The sequence below is a fragment of the Homo sapiens genome, chromosome 1 (assembly GCF_000001405.40).
Source record: "Homo sapiens chromosome 1, GRCh38.p14 Primary Assembly".
NCBI lineage: Eukaryota > Metazoa > Chordata > Mammalia > Primates > Hominidae > Homo > Homo sapiens.
Window position 1 is genome coordinate 121425284 of NC_000001.11, and position 20797 is coordinate 121446080.

The 20797-nt window shown below is 36.5% G+C and overlaps 1 protein-coding gene across 4 annotated transcripts in view; it reads left to right on the forward strand.

Annotated features, from left to right (window-relative positions):
• Window positions 1-20797, forward strand: part of LINC02798 (long intergenic non-protein coding RNA 2798) — a 67558-nt gene that overhangs the window by 29712 nt on the left and 17049 nt on the right. The window contains exons 2-3 of one of the 4 annotated variants that reach the window (XR_007066533.1): window positions 2699-2781; window positions 3747-5035. The exons of 2 other annotated variants lie outside the window; for them this stretch is intronic. The gene's annotated coding sequence lies outside the window, so the exon portion shown is untranslated. Of the gene's footprint in view, window positions 1-2698; window positions 2782-3746; window positions 5036-20797 lie in introns of those variants that run through there. One more of the 4 variants, XR_007066532.1, reaches the window with a different exon arrangement.

Genomic DNA, 20797 nt, shown 5'->3' on the forward strand with positions numbered 1-20797 from the left:
TGTTTCGTTTCCTTAAAGTACACTTGTGCTAGTGTTTGATAAAACCCCTTTAGTTATACGGTTCTAAGAAAAAAACTGCATAGTCTTAGCAAAGAAGAAAAGTTCGAGCATCAGTAAAACCTTATATGCTGCTTCTCCATTTCTCCTCAAAATTTGTTTTCATTTTAGGGCAAGCACATCTGCATGTACTTTCCTGATTCTTTCAGTTCCCAAGTATTCTAATTTTATTTTATTTTTTCATCAAGAATAAACCAGAAAAAAATACCTTGTTTCAGTTTTTGTAATGCTAGGAAACTTTCATTATTTCAGAGGAAAATTCTGGGGCACATGTAAAGTCATGGGTTGCCTTGGGAAACAAATTCTATTAAACATTCCAGGTCTATTTAGCACAGGTAAATATAATCAGGATGAATTGCATAATTATGCATAAAATGCCAGATATTTTATACAAATGGGAAAAGATGAGATATGAGAAAGTAAGACTAGAGAAATAAGGTTACAAAACTGGTCAGTGACCAAAGGAGGTCTAGAATTTGGAAAATCTATGGCTGACTACGTTTTTGTTCTCCCCAAGCCCATTTTATTGCAAATAAATTTTTGCTTAGATCTGACCTTAAACTTCAATGAAGGGAGAAAAAAATATTCCCTGTAGGCTAATTTAGAGTTATCTCAGCAGTGTTTACCTCCATCCAGCAGTGTTTACATTTCATTCTAAGGTTGGCAAAGCAGGGATTTCTAGATCAAAAGCTCAATATCTTTGAGTCTTTAATCAATATAGAAGTTAGTTTCAGAGAAACTATCCTATTTGATTACAATTTATGTTCTGTGCTTTGGATTCATTTCTATAATTAAAAATTATACCAGGCACTTTTCACTGGATACACATACATTTGCACACACGTGCTTGTGCACATACACACCAGCGTATACACTCAGATGACATCACAAATCTTGGTCATGAAAAACTGGGTAGGTCTTCCTGGGGCAAAATGCAGATAATGGATAACAAAGAGAGACTGTATTTGTGTCACCATTCTTTATATCCTAGGTGAGATTACTCCTGTCTCCAATTCTCAATTATTAATTCTGATTTTTTGCACATGAATTACTCTGAAAGTTACAATTTGAAATTGGGTAGAAAATCCTTAATAACATTACTGACTCATTGGTAATTAAATATGGAGCTTCCATATTTAATTCAAGTAATTCCCAAACTTGAAAGGAAGAACTACTAATGAAGGTTTTTATGCATAAGATAATACACTGTTTACTAATGTTCAAACCACACAAATACTTGTGAAGCTACAAAAATTTAGTCAATATATTTAAAATCTATTATTAAAATATGTTATCAGCCCAGCTAAGTGGCTCACACTTGTAATCCAAGCACTTTGGGAGGCTGAGGTGGGAAGATCACTTTAGACCAGGAGTGGAGTTTTGACACCAGCCTGGTCAACAGAGTGAGACCCAGGCTCTACCAAAAAAAAAAAAAAAAATTAGACACTCATGGTGGAGCATGCCTGTAGTCCCAGTTAGTTGGGAGGCTGAGGTGGGAGAATTGCTTGAGCTCAGGAGTTCGATGCTGCAAGGAGCTATGATTGCATCATTGTGCTCCACCCAGGGCTCTGCAAGACCCTGTCTAAAAAATAAATTTGAAAAATTAATTTAAAAAATAAATAAAATATGTATAAAACACTTCATGTGTTCCAAAAGAAAAAGTAGGATAAAAAAATCTGTATGCTAATTATCCAGCTTAAAAAGAAATCAATCTGAAAACAGCTAAAGCCGATTATAACTCTTTAATAGCATCATGCTTTCTTCAACTTCTGAGGCTACCACTTTTATGAAATTTTTTATTATTGCCATGAATGTAAGATTGATTATCCACACACATGTGTACTTATACATAGATTAAAGGTCTTACAATTATATATTTAAAACATTGTGCTGTGTATATTTTTGGCATTTGTTTTTGTTCAACTTTAAATTTGTAAGGTTCACCCATATTGGTATCTATAGCTTGGATTTATTCATCTTCTCTGTTATGCAACATTTTATTATATGGATCCAGCACAATTATTTATCAATTTTCCAATTGATGGATCTTTCAGATATTTTTCTATTACAAAAAGTGCTGCAATTGTTTTATTTACTAGATGGGTTGCTGTTCTTGTGACTTGCAAAAACTTACGCAAGTTTTTTTTTTTTAGTTCTATTTGTGGATGTTTATCTATGGTCTGTCATATTTTTTTCAAGCACATTTATTTCCTTCCATCACTTATGAATTCAAATTCAGAATTATGTGTATATATACTGCCATATATTTCATTTACATAAAGGAAAGAAATGAGATATTTTATAAACCAAATTAGGGAAGAACTCAGAGGGGAGCAGAAGAGAAGAAATTGTTTGGTTAGTTGGTTTTAATTATTTTAATTTTCCCCCACTGCTCTACCCTTGCAACCTAAAACTGTACCTAGAAAGAGCTTAATACATTTTTGTTAAACTAATGAATAAATTTATAAATATTATTAGTATTTTGTAGTTTGGGAGTCTAACTTAAAATAGCTTCTGTATTTTTTTTTGTTTCCAAACTTTCTATTAAAATAAGAAAAAGACAATGCTCACACTACCATTAACACCTAGGATGACAGTAACTCTACTGCTAGAATCTGAGAAGAATATTTGTCATCCATAGGCTAATACAACCAGTTGGAAAAATGCGATGGATAATCCATTGGTGAGAGAACATCTGAAGTGGTACTTTGCTATCTTCTAAAGGTGGGTTGAGAGCTATGGTGCATGAGAGCCAGACTGCTCATAATGGTTTGTCAAGTCAAGAGCTGCATTATCAGGAATTTTGAAAGTTGCTTGTTAAACTACTTAAATCTTGAAATCAGCCATGGTGAGAGTGTTTACTCCCATTTCGATGGGATCATCACAGGCTACAAATCAGGACTCTCCCCTTTTGTTAAACATTTATGAACACATTACTCATCCTATCTTTACTTCCTTCCTCTGCATTACACCAATCAGAATTCTAAATGTCTGTTATGCTACTACACATGTACTGCTTTTAAGGCAGCAGGAATATTTTTGAGCCCTTCACTTGTGCTTGTCTTTTTTTGTTGTTCAACTGGATACTATAAATTCCAGAAAACAATGTGGGGAGAAATAGAGCAAGAGGGCCTACACTGGCACAAGGTGCCAATAAGTTGTGGGTGGGTTTAAAGTCTTATAGGTCAGACATGATTTGGGGAGGGGATGGGTGGACCAGTCAAGCCCACCTTGAATAGAATTGCATTCCCAAATCATACAGCTACTTAGTAGAGAAGTAATGGGATGGATGTTGGAAACCAACCAAGATGTTTACTTCAGCCTAGCTTACCCTACTGAAATTGACTCATTCTATCCACTCAACCTGATTTCTCAGGATTCTATAATATGCACCAAAATTGGGTTATTTTTACAATATTCTTATTCTTCAAACTGTTTCCTTTACATAGATCATGACCTCATTTACCCTAATTTACCTATTTACCTTTGATCCTCCTTTTCCTGTCTAGTCTGATCTCTTCCTCCCCATACCCCTATAGGAAAATTACCTGTTGGTGCAGCCATGTTTATGCCTCTGTGCATTAAAAAAAGTTGTACACTGATATGTATTTTTCTATATTCTCATTTAAATTATCTTTCTATATCTCACATTCTTGAGACTCTAATCTTTTTTTTTTTCTTTTTTTTAGATAGAGTCTTGCTCTGTCACCAGCCGGAGTGCAATGGCACGATCTCGGCTCACCACAACCTCCGCCCCCTGGGTTCAAGTGATTCTCCTGCCTCAGCCTCCTGAGTAGCTGGGACTACAGGTGCACACCACGCCCAGCTACTTTTTGTATTTTTAGTAGAGACGGGGTTTCACCATATTGGCCAGGGTGGCCTCAATCTCTTGACCTTGTGATCCACTCACCTCAGCCCTCCAAAGTGCTGGGATTACAGGTGTGAGCCACCGTGCCCAGCCAAGACTCTAATCTTTCTATAGTGTTTGCTTAATCTAATTCATGGTAATTTATTTCTGCGATTTCCATGTTTTCTTTTTTAATTGCTACTTTATTTTACTGAGGCTTTTCCCTACATTTTATCTGAGAGAACACTGTGGCCTGTCTTTAAGAAACAGCTTTGAAGTAGATTTACCAGGTGGTTTAATGGTAATCCCTGTCTTAGGAATAATATGATGTATATTGTTAAAATTAACAGTATATTCATTTTAACCTCAAACCTGGGATAGCCATAGGACTAAAATTTCTCTTTGGAGATATATACGTCTAAAACATAGAGCCTAGACAGAGACAGACAAACTTCTTTGCTATCTTCCTGTGATTTTAGGCAATTAGAAAATTTAATCATCTATCAAATGTGTAGACTTTTGAGGGTACCTGCTCTGCTCCATTCTCTCAGTTCCCATTCTTTGCCATGCATAGGTTGCATAGGCCATGCTTGTCCTCTGTCTCATCTTGTAAATACAACTTGAGTTTTGAAAATACTGGGAGGAAAAGTACATCGCCTCAGGTTCTGCTTGCATGCTTACCCTTTGGTTTTTGGTTTCCATCTTATTTCTGGTACCTACAGGTTTCCTTTTCTTTGTTGAAAACGTAGCTATGCATTTAAAACTTTTTGTTAATTGTTACCAACCCATTTTGTTATATGTTAACCATGTTATATATTACATTTAGTTATTTACACTTTTAGAGTTTCTAGTTATCTTAATCAACCATCCTGCTAAAAATTGAAGTTGCATTTTGTATATCTTTAAGAATTATTTGAAAAGATAATTTATCCTCTTAATGGGAATGACAATGACTAGCAAGCTTATTTTGATAAAATTAGATGCTGTTTTCTATACTGCTAAAATATAATGTTTTTAAAATGTGCACCACATAAAATGTGCCACTGTACATATGTAATGGCTTTTAATTTGTAGATTTCTTCCTAAATTTAATAAATCAATTAAAAATGTGACTTAAAGTAAAACTAAAAATGTCACAAGAGTATATGGAGACAAAATATACTAGAAGAATATAGCTTTGTGGACAATTTGGGGAAAATATGACAGGAATTTTTTCTCAATGTGTATGACTTAAATCATACTCTAGCTAAAAAGCAAGTTGTACAGGTAGTTGGATAAAGTCCTGCCAGCCTGCAACAATGCTGACATAGCAGTCACATTTCAATGTGGTTTCATAAACATTTGCGATGCTTCTAATATATGCCAGGCACTTTTCTCAGACCAGGGCATTCCAAAATACCATGATTATTTTTAATGATCTTACTTACTTACTGGAGAACCCAGTGTGAGAACAACATATAAAAAATGCAAATCCGTAGTGACGATGCAGTACTAATAGCATGTAGAAGGGATGGATGCAATATAGGGAAGGAAGATCTCATTGAGGAGTTTGCATCCTAGCAAGAGTTTTAAAGATAATTAAGGTTTTGACATGTCAACTAGTAAGTTTCAGACACAGTGAAAGCACCCAACATGATGCACAGCTTCCTGGAAATGATACTTAGTTGAGATGATCTATATCGAAGAGTTAGGTTAATATGGTTTCAGAGTCCTAGCCAGAGAATCTTGAAAGATGAGTCCTTGCTGGTTAGTTTGATTTACCTATTCATCAAGAAGAAACAAATTCAAAAACTGAAGCAGGTCTCCCATATAAGAGAAGAACAATGATTTAGAAAATGTAAAATTTATATGCTAGGGTTTGTTAGTTGCTGACAGAAAGTTAAGAAGAAATGTGAGTTAACTGGGGTAGACACCTGCTTTGCACCAATGTAGATGAATGTAGCATGTCGTCAGATGGTTGTATGATCAGTACTCAGTAATAGGCTTCCTTCTCTGTATATTTCATTTTTGGAGTGGTGGTTTCAATTTTGGCCTCTGGAGTCACATGCCTTAGCCTCGAATCCCAGCTCCACCACTTATAAGTTCCATGACCTTAGAAAATTGCCTAACCTCTAAATGCCGCAGTTTACTCATCTGCACAGTGGGAATGACGATAGCATCTACCTCTGGTCCTTGTGAGGATTAAGCATGTGAATGTGTGTAAAATATTTAGAAAAGAGGGTGGAATGTAGTAAATATTAGCTATTTCAATTATTGCTACATGGATAGTCTGCCCTGGTTTTCTCCCTCATCCCTGTTATAAAACAGCTGTTCAGAGTTCACTTAGAAAAAAGTCCACATAGACACGAAAAAATTCACATAGACACAAAATCCACACAGACACAAAACAATTCATCATTTATTCACTTACTCATTTCTTCCTTCTTCAGGTTCTACATTCTTAATGTATAGACTTTGCTTCTAATTATTTAGATAAAACTTATAGTTTGATCTTTATAATTAGCAGATGGGTAAAGGAAAACGGAAATGTGGTATATCTACATTTGAAGCATCTCAGCAGAAAGTCAGTATTTTAGGAAAAATTATAAGGCTTGTAAAAAAAGTGACGATTTTCATATATGCATAATGATGACAGCACCACCTGAACAATTTTAAATTTAGCTTACAATGGGAGGAGGGAATATTTTTCACATGTAGTAAGTAGTTTTTCAAAAAAATTTAAATATAGCCAATCAAATACAAATCCCAAATAGTGTATTATTTCTGAAATATATTGAAAAAAAGGTCAAAACAAATTTGTTTTGTAGGTGAAATAGATGATCTGCACATGATTAAATTAGGCATAAGGCAATGAGGAAGAAAATACATTCTATGTTAAGATTTGCTTGCAGTTGTATTACTTATTTTTCCTGGGAATAGGAAACAAGAAAGATCCTCTGAAGTTGAACTAAATTTCTGTAACAAAATATTTGACCTAATTGGGTTAAATGTTCTTTCCTTCTTTCCTTCCTTCCTTCCTTTCTTCTTTCCTTCCTTCCTTCCTTTCTTCTTTCCTTCCCTCCTTCCTTCCTCTTTCTTTCCCTTTCTCTCTTTCTTTCTTTCTTTAAAAAACCAAAATGTCATACTTTTAGAAAGAATCTCCATTTCTCTATGTTGGTGAAAAATATGTAAGTTTTGGCTTTTTTGTTCAGTTTCATTTTGAAGTATATTGATTCTGTAGAAGTCTTGTGATATATTGCCCAAAGGCATTTCTTTTTTTTCCTTTCTTTTTCTTTTTTTTTTTTTTTTTACTTCCACTGAGTTTGAGAATATTTATTAATCATGCAGCAGTCCTTAATCCCACCCACACCTCTCAATATTCTAGCTGTTTCTTACACTCAACTAGCTTGTTTTGTCCTTCTCCATTGCAATTTCAGATCTGTTCCCTTCTATGAGACAGCTCCATATTAAAGTGCATTAAGTACATTTTCTCCTCAACCCCGCTTGATATTGGTTGTGACTTTTCTAAGTCATCCCAGCACTTACACCATAAATTTAGATAAACTGTTAATTTGTACTTGTTGTTCATATGCAGTAGGTTTGGCTTAAAAAATAGCAAAACTCTTCTTATACTCACTTTATAAGTAAAGATATTTTAAACTCTTGAAGAGTAGAAACTATGTCATATTTATCTTGTGCTTTCTTTTTCATTCCCTGAATCTTTACATAAGAAATAAAGAATGAGTATTTTATTTCTTCTCTAAATTCTCAGAGCACTACATTAACTGTCAAACAAAATAAATCAGAGAATTGGTCAGTATAAACTCTACCTGTAAAAGTCAATGTCCCTTTTGACTCTTGCTCTAATGATGATGATAGAGTCTCTTAGTTGACTGGATTTGCTCTAAGAGTCTATAAGAATAAAGTTTATATTATTCATTTAGGCAATTCCTTTTTCTAAGACAGCATGTGCTTGTGTATCAAACCAGAAAGGAGACAGAAAGAGTCAAATGAGTTTGTTTTCATCGTGTAACTTAAAAATAGGCAGATATTTAATGATTTATTTCATTTTGATCTTTAAATTCTCAGAATAGTCTTCTCTCTTAGTCCTTTCTAGCTAAGGGTCTATTTTCCAACTTTCTCTGTCTGCACCAAAAACCAAAAAACAAACAAAAAGAGTCTATATCTAAACATTGTCCAAAGGTGTTTGTGAGATACATTTAGCAGTAAAATAAGGAAGGTTATTATTGTGAGAAAAGAGAGACATAGTCAAGATGGTGATACAGAAGGCTCCACCCATCATCCCCCTACCCCTACAAGAACAGCAACTTAGCAAGTATCTACACAGAAAAAAACACCTTCATAATAACCAAAAATCAAGTGAGCACTCACAGTACCTGGTTTTAACTTCATATTGCTGAAAAAGGCAGAAAAGATAGCAAAAACAGCCTTGAATCACCAATGCTACCCCTCCTCCACCCCCATCCTTCACTTCCCCTTCACCCCAGCAGCTGCGTGTTGTCGAGAGCATCTCTGGGTGCTGTGGGAGGGGGGACACATAATTGTGAGGCATTGAACTCAGTTCTGTCCTATTAGAGTAAAAAGAAAAACCAGACCAAACTCACCTGACACCCACCCATGAAAGGAGCATTTAAACCAGCCCTAGCCAGAGGGGAATTCCTGAGCTTAGTGGTCCAAATTTGAGTTCCCCCAAACCTTGCCACCTAGGGTTACAGCACTACATGTCTCCAAGTAAACTTGAAAGGCAGTCTAGACCATAAAGACTGCAACTCTTAGGCAAGACCTAGTGCTGAACTAGGTCCAGAGACAGTGCACTTGGGGGGCACGTGACATACTGAGACATCAGCTGGGGCAGCCAAAGGAGTGCTGGCATCACCCCTCCCCTAACCCTAGGCTGCACAGCTCACAGCTTCAAAAGAGACCCTTCCTTCTGCTTGAGGAGAGGAGAGGGATAAATGGGGAGGACTTTGTTTTGCATCTTGGATACCAGCTCAGCCACAGCAGGATAAGGCACCAGTCAGAGTAGTGAAGCCCCCGTTCCAGGCCCTAGCTCCCATCTGACATTTTTAGACAAACCCTAGGCCAGAAGGGAACTCACTGCCTTGAAAGGACCCAGCCCTGGAAATATTTATCACCTGCTAACAGAGGAGTCCTTGGGCCCTGAATAATCAGCAGCAATACCCAGGCACTACATCAAGGGCCTTGGGTGAGCCTCTGAAATTTGCTGGCTTCAGGTGAGACTCAGTACATTACCAGCTGTGGTGCATATGGGGCAAAACTGCTGCTTCAGAAAAGCAGAGGGAAAAGTAAAGAGGACTTTGTCGTGTACCTTAGGTACCAGCACAGCCACAGCAGAGGGACAGAGAACCAAGTGGGGTCTTGGGATCCCCAATTCCAGGACTTGGCTCTTGGATGACATTCCTGGACACTGCCCTGACGGGTGAGTCCCAGGCCAGGCAGCATTTATCACAAGCTAACTTAAGAGCCCTTGGGCCTTCAGGGAACATTGGTAACATTGGTGGTAGTCTGGCAGAACTCCTCTTGGCCTGAGGGTGGTGGTGACTAGGGGGTGATGCTCCTCTGCCTTTGGAAAGGGGAGAGAAGAGTGGGAAGGACTGCATCTTTTGGGTTTAAACGCCAGCTCAGCCACAATAGAAAAGAATACCAGGTAGACTTCTAAGGTTTTTGAATCTAGTCCCTGACTCCCAGATGGCACCTCTGGACCCATCTGGGATCTGGGGGACCTTGCCACCCTGAAGGGAAGGACACGAGCCTGGCTGGCTTTGACACTGGCAGTTTTAGAGCTCCAGGGCCTTGAACAAACATAGGCAGTTGCCAGAGAATGGCTACAGGAGGCTTCGGGTAGACAGTGCTTTGCTGGCTTCAGGTCTGACCCAGTGGAGTCGTAGTGGTGGTAGCCACAGGGGTGTCTTGCCAGCCCAGCTTTAGGTGGCTCAGAACAGAGAGAAAGACTCTGTTTGAGAGAAAGTAAGGAAGGAAAACAAGAGACTTTTCCTAGTAGTTCAGAGAATTCTTCCAAATCTTGTCCAAGACTGTCAAGGCAGTACTTCTACCATTCTGCAAGAACCACAGCATTACTGGGCTTGGGGTGCCCCTTAAAGCTTAGGTCACAGCTTAGATCACAACACCCATGTTCTTTCAAGTATCTGGAATGGCTTCCCAAGAAGGACAGCTACAAATAAGGCCAGGCAATGAAGACTACGATAAATACCTAACTCTTCAATGCTCAGACACCAAAGAACAACTACTAGCATCAACACCATTCAGGAAAACATGACCTCACCAAATGAACTAAATAAGGTACCAGGGATCAATGCTGGAAAAACAGAGATGTGTGACCTTTCAAGCAGATAATTCAAAATAGCAGTGTTGAGGAAACTCAAAGAAATTCAAGTTAACACAGTGACAGAATTCACAATTCTATCAGATAAATGTAACTAAGAGATTGAAATAATTGAAAATAATCAAGCAGAAATTCTGGAGGTAAAAAGTATAAGTGGTATATTGAAGAATGCATCAGAGTTATTTTATAGCAGAACTGATCAAGCAGAAGAAAGAATCAATGGGCTTGAAGAAAAGCTATTTGAAAATACACAGAAGAGACAAAGATAAAAGCATAAGAAATTATGAAGCACACCTACAGGATCTAGAAAATATCCTCAAAAGGGCATATCTAAGAGTTACTGGCCTTAAAGAGGAGGTAGAGAAAGAGATAGGGGTAGAAAGCTTATTCAGAGTGATAATATGAGATAACTTTCCAAACCTAGAGAAAGATATCAATATCCAAGTACAAGAAGGTTATGGAACACCAAGCAGATTTAACCCAAAGAAGATTGCTTCCAGGCATTTAATAATCAGACTCCCAAAGATCAAGGATGAAGAAAGGATCCTAAAAGCAGTAACAGAAAATAAACAAATAACATACAATGGAGCTCCAGTATGTCTGGCAGCAGACTTTTCCAAGGAAACCTTTCAGCCTGGGAGAGAGTGGCATGACATATTGAAAATGCTGAAGGAAAAAACTTTTACCCTAGAATAGCTTATCTGGAGAAAATTTCCTTTAAACGTGAAGGAGAAATAAAGACTTTCCCAGACAAACAAAAGCTGAGGGATTTCTGGGGGATTTCATCAACACCAGACCTGTGCTGCAAGAAATGCTAAAGGGAGTCCTTCAATCAGAAATAAAAGGACATTAATGACCAATAAGTAATCACTTGAATGTATAAAACTCACTGGTAATAGTAAGTACACAGAATATCATAACACTGTAACTGTGGTGTGTAAACTACTCTTATCCTAAGTAGAAAGACTAAATGATGAACCAATAAAAATAATAACTACAACAACTTTTCAAGACATAAGCAGTACAGGCTGGGCACGGTGGCTCACGCCAGGAGCACTTTGGGAGGCCGAGGTGGGTAGATCACCTGAGGTCAGGAGTTCAAGACCAGCCTGACCAGCATGGAGAAACCCTGTCTCTAGTAAAAATACAAAACTAGCCAAATGTGGTGTTACATGCCTGTAATCCCAGCTACTCAGGAGGCTGAGGCAGGAGAATCACTTGAACCCAGGAGGTGGAGGTTGCAGTGAGCCGAGATGGCACCATTGCACTCTAGCTTGGGCAACAAAAGTGAAACTCCGTCTCAAAACAACGACAACAACAAAAAAAGACAAAGGAAGTACTATATGATATAAATAAAACAACAAAATAAAGTGTAGTTTTTGTTAGTTTTCTTTTTGCTTGTTTGTTTATCCAAGCAGCGTTAAATTGTTATCAGGTTAAAATAATGGTTTATAAGATAGTATTTGCTAGCCTCGTGGTAACCTCAAACCAAACAACATACAATGGATACCAGAAAATAAAAAGCAATAAACTAAATCATATCACCAGAGAAAATCACCTTTACTAAAGGAAGAGAGAAAGGAAGGAAAGAAGGAAGAGAAGACCACGCACACACAAAAAGACACAGAAAATAAATAACAAAATGGGAGGAGTAAGTAAGTCCTTACTTATCATTAATAACATTGAATGTAAATGGACTAAATTATCCAATCAATAGACAACAGCCAATGATCTGTTGTCTACAAGAAACACACTTTAGCTTTAAAGATACACATAGACTTAAAGAACTGAAAAAGATATTCCATGCCAATGAAAACCATAAAAGAACAGGAGTAGCTGTACTTACATCAACAACTATAGACAAAAACTATAAGAAGAGACAAAGAAAGTCACTATATCATGAAAAAGGGGTCAATTCAACAAGATGATATAACAATTGTAAATATATATGCACCCAACACTGGAGCACCCATATAAAGGAAATATTATTAAACCTAGAGAGAGAGAGAGAGAGAGACATAGGTCCCAATATAATAAAAGCTGGAGACTTCCACACCCCACTTTCAGCATTGGACAGATCTCCCAGACAGATAATGAACAAAGAAATATCAGAGTTAATCTATATTATAGACCAAATAGATCTAGTAGATAGTTATAGAACATTTCATCCACGAGCTGCAGAATACACATTATTCTCCTCAGCACATGAATTATTTTCAAGGAGAGACCATATGTTAAGTCACAAAACGAGCCTTAAAACATGCTAAAAATTGAAATAATATCAAGCATCTTCTCTGATCACAATGGAATAAAACTAGAAATTAATAACAAGAGGAATTTCTGAAACTATACAAACATAGAAATTTAACATATGCTCCTGAGTGACCAGTGGGGCAATGAAGAAATTAAGAAGGAAATTGAAAAATTTCTTGAAAGAAATGATAATGGAAACACAACATACCAATATCTATGGGATATAGTAAAAGCAGTGCTAAGAGAGAAGTTTATAGCTATAAATGCCTACATCAAAAAAGAGGAAAAACTTCAAATAAACAATCTAATGCCGTATCTTAAAGAACTAGAAAAGCAAGAGAAAACCAAGTCCAAAATCAGTGAAGAAAAGAAATAATAAAGATCTGAGCAGAAATAAATAAAATTGAAAACCATAAAAAAGATCAATGTAACAAAAAGTTGGTTTTTTTATAAAGTTAAACAAAATTGGCAAACCTTTAGTTAGACTAAGAAAAAAAGGGAGAGCATTCAAATAAATAAAACCAGAAATTGAAAAAAGAGACATTACAACTGAATCTGCAGAAATTCAAAGGATCATTAGTGGCTATTATGAGCAATTATATGCCAATAAATTGGAAAATCTAGAAGAGATAGTCAAATTCCTAGATACATACAACCTACCAAAATTGAACCAAGAAGAAATCTAAAACCTGAACAGACCAATAACAAATAACAAGGTCAAAGCTGTCATAAAATATCTCCCAGTAAAGAAAATCCCAGGACCCAATGACTTTACTGCTGAATTCTACCAAACATTTAAAGAAAAACTAACACTAATCCTAGTCAAACTTTTCCAAAAAAAAAGAGGAGGAAGGAATACTTCCAAACTTATTCTATGAGATCATTTTTACCCTAATACCAAAATGAGACAAAGACACATCAAAAAAAAGAAAAGTACAGGCCAATATCTCTGATGAATATTCATGTAAAAATCCTCAACAAAATGCTAACAAACCAAATTTAACAATACATTAAAAAGATCATTCATCACGATAAAGTGGGACTTATCCTTGAGATGCAAGGAAGATTCGAAATATGCAAGTCAATCAATGTGATACATCGTATCAACAGAATACAGAATAAAATCCATATGATCATTTCAATTGATGCTGAAAAACTATTGAATAAAGTTCAACATTCCTTCATGATAAAAAAGAAACCCTCAGAAAACTGGACATAAGAGGAATGTACACAACATAATAAAAACCATATGTGACAGACCCACAGCTAGTATCATATTTAATATAGAAAAACTGAAAGCCTTTCCTCTAAGATCTGGAACACATTAAGGATGCCCAATCTCACCACTCTTATTTGACATAGTACTGGAAGTCCTAGCTAGAGCAATCAGACAAGAGAAAGAAATAAAGGGCATCTAAATTGGAACGGAAGAAGTCAAATTATTCTTGTTTGCAGATGATGTGATCTTATAGCTGGAAACACCTAAAGACTCCACTAATAAACTTTTAAATCTTATGAATAAATTTAGTAAAGTTGCAGGGTGCAAAGTCAACATACAAAAGTCAGTGACATTTCTATATGCCATCAGTGAACAGTCTGAAAAAGAAGTTTAAAAGTTATCCTATTTATAATAGCCACACATAAAATTAAATACCAAGGAATTAACCAAAGAAATAAAAGATCTCTGCAATGAAAACTATAACACACTAATGAAAGAAATTAAAGAGGGCATCAAAAAATGGAAAGGTATTTTATGTTCATGAATTGGAAGAATTAATATTGCTAAAATGGCCGTACTACCCAAAGCAATCTACAGATTCAATGCAATCCATGTCACAGAAATAAAAAAAAACTATTCTAAAATTTATATGGAATCACAAATTACCCAGAGTAGCTAAAGCTATCCTAAGCAAAAAGAATAAAACTGAAGGAATTACATTACCTGACTTCAAATTATACTACAGAGCTATAGTAACCAAAATAGCATGGTATTGGCATAAAAACAGGCACATACACCAATGGAACAGAATAGAGAACCCAGAAACAAATCCACACACCTATAGTGAACTCGTTTTTGACAAAGGTGCCAAGAATATAAATTGAGGAAGAGACAGTCTCTTCAGTAAATGGTACTGGGAACACTAGATATCCATATGGTGAAGAATGAAGCTAGATCTCTATCTCTTGCCACATAAAAAAATCAAATAAAAATGGATTAAAGACTTAAATCGAAGACCTAAAGCTATGAAACTACTATGAGAAAACTTTGGGGAAACTCTCTAGGACATTGGTTTGGGCAAAATTTCTTGAGTAATACCCCACAGCACTGGCAAGCGAAGTCAAAATGGACAAATGAGATCACATCAAGTTAAAAAGCTTCTGCACAACAAAGGATACAATCACAAAGTGAAGAGCACCCCACAGAATGGGAAAAAATATTTGAAAACTATCCATCTAATAAGAGATTAACAACCAGAATATGTAAGGATTCCTAACAACTCTATAAGAAAAGACTTAATACTCTGCTTAAAAAATAAGCAACAGATGGCTGGGCGTGTTGGCTCATGCCTGTAATCCCAGCGTTTTGGGAGGCCTAGGTGGGCGGATCACCTGATGTTGGGAGTTTGAGACCAGCCTGACCAACATAGAGAAACCCCGTCTCTACTAAAAATACAAAATTAGCCAGGCATGGTGGCACATGCCTGTAATCCCAGCTACTCGGGAGGCTGAGGCAGGAGAATTGTTTGAACCCGGGAGGCGGAGGTTGCACTGAGCTGAGATTGTGCCATTGCACTCCAGCCTGGGCAACAAGAGAGAAACTCTGTCTCAAAAGAAAAAAAAAAAAAAAAGCAACAGATTTGATTAGACATTTTTCAAAAGAAGACATACAAATAGCAAGCAATTATATGTAAATAGGCATATGATGAGGTGCTGAACATCATTAAACATCAGAGAAATTCAAATAAAAACTACAATGAAGTATCATCTCACCTCACTTAAAATGGCTTAGAAAAGACAGGCAATAACAAATGCTGACAAGGATGTGGAAAAAAAAGGAACAGACGTACACAACTGGTGGGAAAGTAAATTACTAAACCACTATGGAGAAGATTTTGGAAGTTTCTCAAAAAACTAAAAATAGAGCTACCATGCAATCCAGCAATCCCTCTGCTGGGTATATATCCAAAAGAAAGACCATCACTATATCGAAGAGCTATCTGCGCTCCTGTTTGTTGCAGCGCTATTTACAATGGCCAAGATGGGGAACCAAACTAAGTGTCCATCAGTAGATGAATGGATAAAGAAAGTGTGGTACCTATACACAGTGGAGTACTATTCAGCCATAAAAAATGAGATCTCATCATTTGTGAAAACATGATAGAACTGGAGATCGTTATGTTAAGTGAAATAAGCCAGGCACAGAATGACAAACATCACATGTTCTCACTTATTGGTGGTATCTAAAAACTAAAACAATTGAATACATGGACACATAGAATAGAAGGCTGGTTATCAGAGGCTGGGAATGGTAGTGGAGGGCTCAGGGGTGGGAGGATGATTAATGGGTGCAAAAAAATAGTAAGAATGAGCAAGACCTACTATTTGATAGCACAACAGGGTGACTATAGTCAGTAATAACTTAATTGTACGTTTTAAAATAACTTAAAGAGTGTAATTGGATTGTTTGTAACCCAAAGGATACATGCTTGAGGGGATGGGTAATTCCTTCTCCATGATGTGCTTATTTTACATTTCATACCTGTATCAAAATATATACACTTCCTATGTTCCCACAAAAATTAAAAATAAAAGAAGAAAAGGAGGTATAGAAGAAAAAGAGGAGTGCTTTGGACATAGTAATTGCTATGGTTTGAATGTATGTTTCCTTTCAAAATTCATATGTTGGAACTTAACCCCCAGGGTAATGGTATGAAAAGATGAGACCCTTGGGAGGTGAGTAGGCTCTGAGGGCTTTGCCTTCATAAATGAGATTAGTACCCTTCTACAAACACCTTCAGAGAGATGCCTCCCCTTTTCCATCCCTTCCTCCATGTGAGGATACAATATTCATCCCCTCCAGAGGATACAGTGTTGAAGGTGTCGTCTGGGGAGTAGAGAGCAGCCCTTACCAGACACTGATCCTACTGGCCCCTTGATCTTGAACTTCCCAACCTAAGAACTGTGAGAAGCAAATTTCTGTTGTTTACAAATTGTCCAGTTTCAGGCATTTTGTTATAGCAGCACAAACTAAGATAGAAACAAATACCCTTCCTTTTATTGAAATTGTTTGAATCTATTCCTTGTTCCATGAAATGACATAAATATATGAGAATAAACTCTTCTGAGAGTTGTTTCCCCTGAACTGTGGGGGATTCCACAAGACTATGTAAGACTATGTAAGAGGAAAATGAAATTGAACATTTTGGTTAGCTTTAAAACTAAGCTGAATGTAAACTTAAATATAGATAAAATATATCTTTTAAAGTTTTTGAAGTGGGTATCTATCTCCTCTTGTCTCCATGCCTGTATTCTGTATCTTACTACATGCATTTTCATAGATCTCACACTTTAAAGCTTATTATTTCTTCCTTTAAACATGACTCCACGTATGCCAATTTTCATTTGTTCCTTTATTCCATGGTAATGCTTAATGCCCAGAAAAGTACAAGGCATTACTGCTGCCCTCTTGGCTTCCTAGGTCTCATTGTTCAATGCAACTTATAAACCATGTTCAAACCTTCTATAGCACTATTTTTATACTGGCACCGCTTGCTCAAGAACTGTAATAGTTACCCATTGCAACTTCAATGGGAAAAGGGCCTGAAGTAGGAATCCGATGATAGTTTTAACACCCGCACAATATTAAGCCTTCTCCACTATGAAATTAATAATGGGCTGGGAATGGTAGCTCATGCCTGTAATCCCAGCACATTGGGAGGCCAAGGTGGGAGCATCACTTGAGCCCAGAAGTTTGAGAGCAGCCTGGGCAACATAGTGAGACCCTGTCTCTACAAATGATAGTAAATTTTTTAAAATAAAATTAATAATGATACTATTTACCTCACAAAATTGTTAAAAGGATAAAAAAGGCGATGTATGTCAAAGCAATTTTAAAAGTGCAAAGCATTATACAAATAAAGTTGTACACTACCTATTTCAAGCCTTTTTATAAATTGACTACCACACATCTATCTATCTTTACTGCTCATCACTGTTCTATGGGCAATCTCTGTCCAGGTAAAATAAACTTCCTAAGATGTCATGTTTATCCTTACTTTTATTCTTGTTTATTTTATCTGCTTACGTCTTCCTCTTTAAATCCTACCCAACTGTCCAGTGAAACATGTCCTCCTACCTTAATGTCCTATTGCATGGATTAGATTTACAGCCAGCTCACCAGACCCTGGAAAGCAGTCCCACTGATCACACAGAAAATATGCAGTAAATATTTGTCAGTGGGTTGGTTTTTGTGTCAACTCTTTCTCTTTTCTTTTAATGTTTATGGCATTTTTATTAGCTTGAGAAGCCAAAGGAAATGATGTCACTGTGATGGTTGATTTTATGTGTCAACTTGACTGGGCCACGGGGTTCCCGGATATTTGGTGAAACATTATTCTGCGTGTTTCTGTGAATGTGTCTTTGGGGATTAGATTAACTTTTGAAATAGTAGACTGAGTAAAGCAGATTTTCCTCCTTAATGTGTCTGAGCCTCCTTCAATCAGCTGAAGGCTTGAATAGAATAAGAAGACTGATTCTCCCCTGATTAGAGAAGATTCCTCCTGCCTAACTCTTTGAACTGTGACATTGGCATTTTTTTTTTTTTTTACTTCAACATGAACTGAAATATTGACCCTTCTTGAGTCTCAATCTTACCACACTTTAGGCTGATCTATAACACTGACTCTCCTCAGTCTCCAGTTTTCCTTTGGAGTCACACTGGAACTACACCATCGGCTCTCTGGGGTGTCCAGTTTGCTGGCTCACCCTGCAGATCTTGAGACTTGTGAGTCTCCATAACTGTGTGAATCAATTCCTTATAATAAATGTGTTTATATAAAATATATGTACAATAAGAATATATAAAATAGGATATATGATAATTATATGCAATATTATATATGTGTGTGTATACACACACACACTACACACATGCTATGTGTTCTGTTTCTCTGGAGAACTCTAATACTTGATGCAGTGGGGCCCCTTAGGATGCTTCTTGTCAGGGTCTTTAAAATATGTAACCCACTTTTAAATATCCCACAAAAAAAGACAAAAACAAAAACAAAGCAAAAAAAAAAGACATAAAAATCTCATGATTTTAAGCCTTACAAGTGAGCTACACTCTAAGGAGGACATATATGAGACCATAAAACACTTACCAGAAAATTGGATATATGCATGAATCACAATATTGTATGTTATTTAAAGTTGAGAGGAAAAAATATGTTAGGGCACTCATCACACAACTTCACAAAGCCCAAAACAAACATTTAGTCATGGTGAGTGTATCAAGGTATGAGTATATACTGTATATCCTTCAACTCTCCCAGAAGATAACTTTGGAAATGTGTGCATAGTGTATACATTTAAATTGAGATTTTTTTTAAAAGCAATATCACTCACTAGAACTGTTAAAATATAACATTTCCATCCCACTGCATTGTACAGTTTAATATACATCCAGTGGTGAGCTCAGGTGTTGCCTTCCCAGGGGCATTATTTTTGTCTTTTGGTTATAATAAAATCTGAAGCAAAGGCTCACTTTTTGAGGGAAAAAATAGATTGCAGTATCATTATTACTATTATTTTGCTTCATAGCTCTATGGCACTGAATCTTTGATTCATACAGCTCCCCCATGTCCTTTGTACTTTCATTCTACAGTTTCGCTTTAGGACATTGGACTGAACATGGGCTTCATAAAGCAAGACTGTCTTTGGTTTTGCTCCCCATATATCTCCAGCACTTAAAATGCTGCCAGCCCATAGTAAAAGATAAACACATGTTTATGGATGAATAAATGGCAAAGTAGTGTGTAAAAAGAAGAATTTAGCAAGGCCTGTCAGGCAGATTTGCATTACAAGACAGGATTTATACTTTATCTCCTGACTTCCTGTAAATTAATAGGCCAAAGCCTTGTAAGTATTAGCATCTTAGCATGGTACTTTTAAAATTTTTTCAATTAAAACAAAGACCACAGTTTCCTCATCTGTAAGTTAAGGTGGAGTGGATGTTTAATCACCAAACACATCTGTCCCATTTTCCCAACGAACCAGCTGTCCTTCTCTTTGTGTGTTGTATTTTAGGGGCAGGGATGCACCACTCACTCATCTGCCCATGCCCCAGATGAATAGCTTCTCCCTTTCTTTCCCTTATACTTTATGCTAAGTAATACCCAATTTGTTTATATTCCTTCTCCTAAATAACTTGAATACATTCATTTCTTTTTCTCTTCTGTCTCGTTTATTCCAATCCATTTTACACACACATGCACATGCACACACACGGACATGTTAACTAATATTTAAACCCCCTGTGTATTACCCCATCCCATCTCTGTGTGATAAGGTAGAAACTCTTCAACAGACCTTAGGGGATCTTTTAATATCTGGCCCCAGATTTCATCCTTATTCTTGGATTTCTCCATCACTTTCTTCCCTGCCCCCACAACTCTAATCTCCAACTACACTGAATTACTTTTAGCTGCTTTAACCTGCTCATTCACTTGTGTTTGTGCATTCTTTTTCTTACTTCCCAGCATTTGCACATATTTCCCTCTACCTAAAACACTCTTTTCACTACTCTTTTTCTGTCTCTCACTTATTCTCCAGCACTCACCTCAGATGTTATTACCACTGGTAAATGTTAACTGACTCCACAAGGCAAGTTATTTGAAGTCTTTTTGCTTATTTTATCTCTGGGACTTAGCACATTACCTTACTTATAAAAGGTACTAATAAAATGTGTTTGAATGCATTAATTTTTACATTTTCTTTTAGCTTTATTATTTTGAGAAGATTAGGCCACTTGCTTTTTCCCTTTTTTTTCTGTTTCTTCCACTTCCTTCTTTGAATTCTTGTAAAATCTCAAAATCTCTTCCTCTTTTTTTTTTGCCTTTGCCAGCTCTTCCATTCAATGGAATTAAAGGAAATTAAGTTTATCAAATAAATCTTAATAAGTAATAGAAATTTAGCACAGTTATATTAGCTTATATTGATTGTGCATAAAGCATTTGGGATTTAAAACAGTTAATATGAATTGGTACCAAGACATTAAT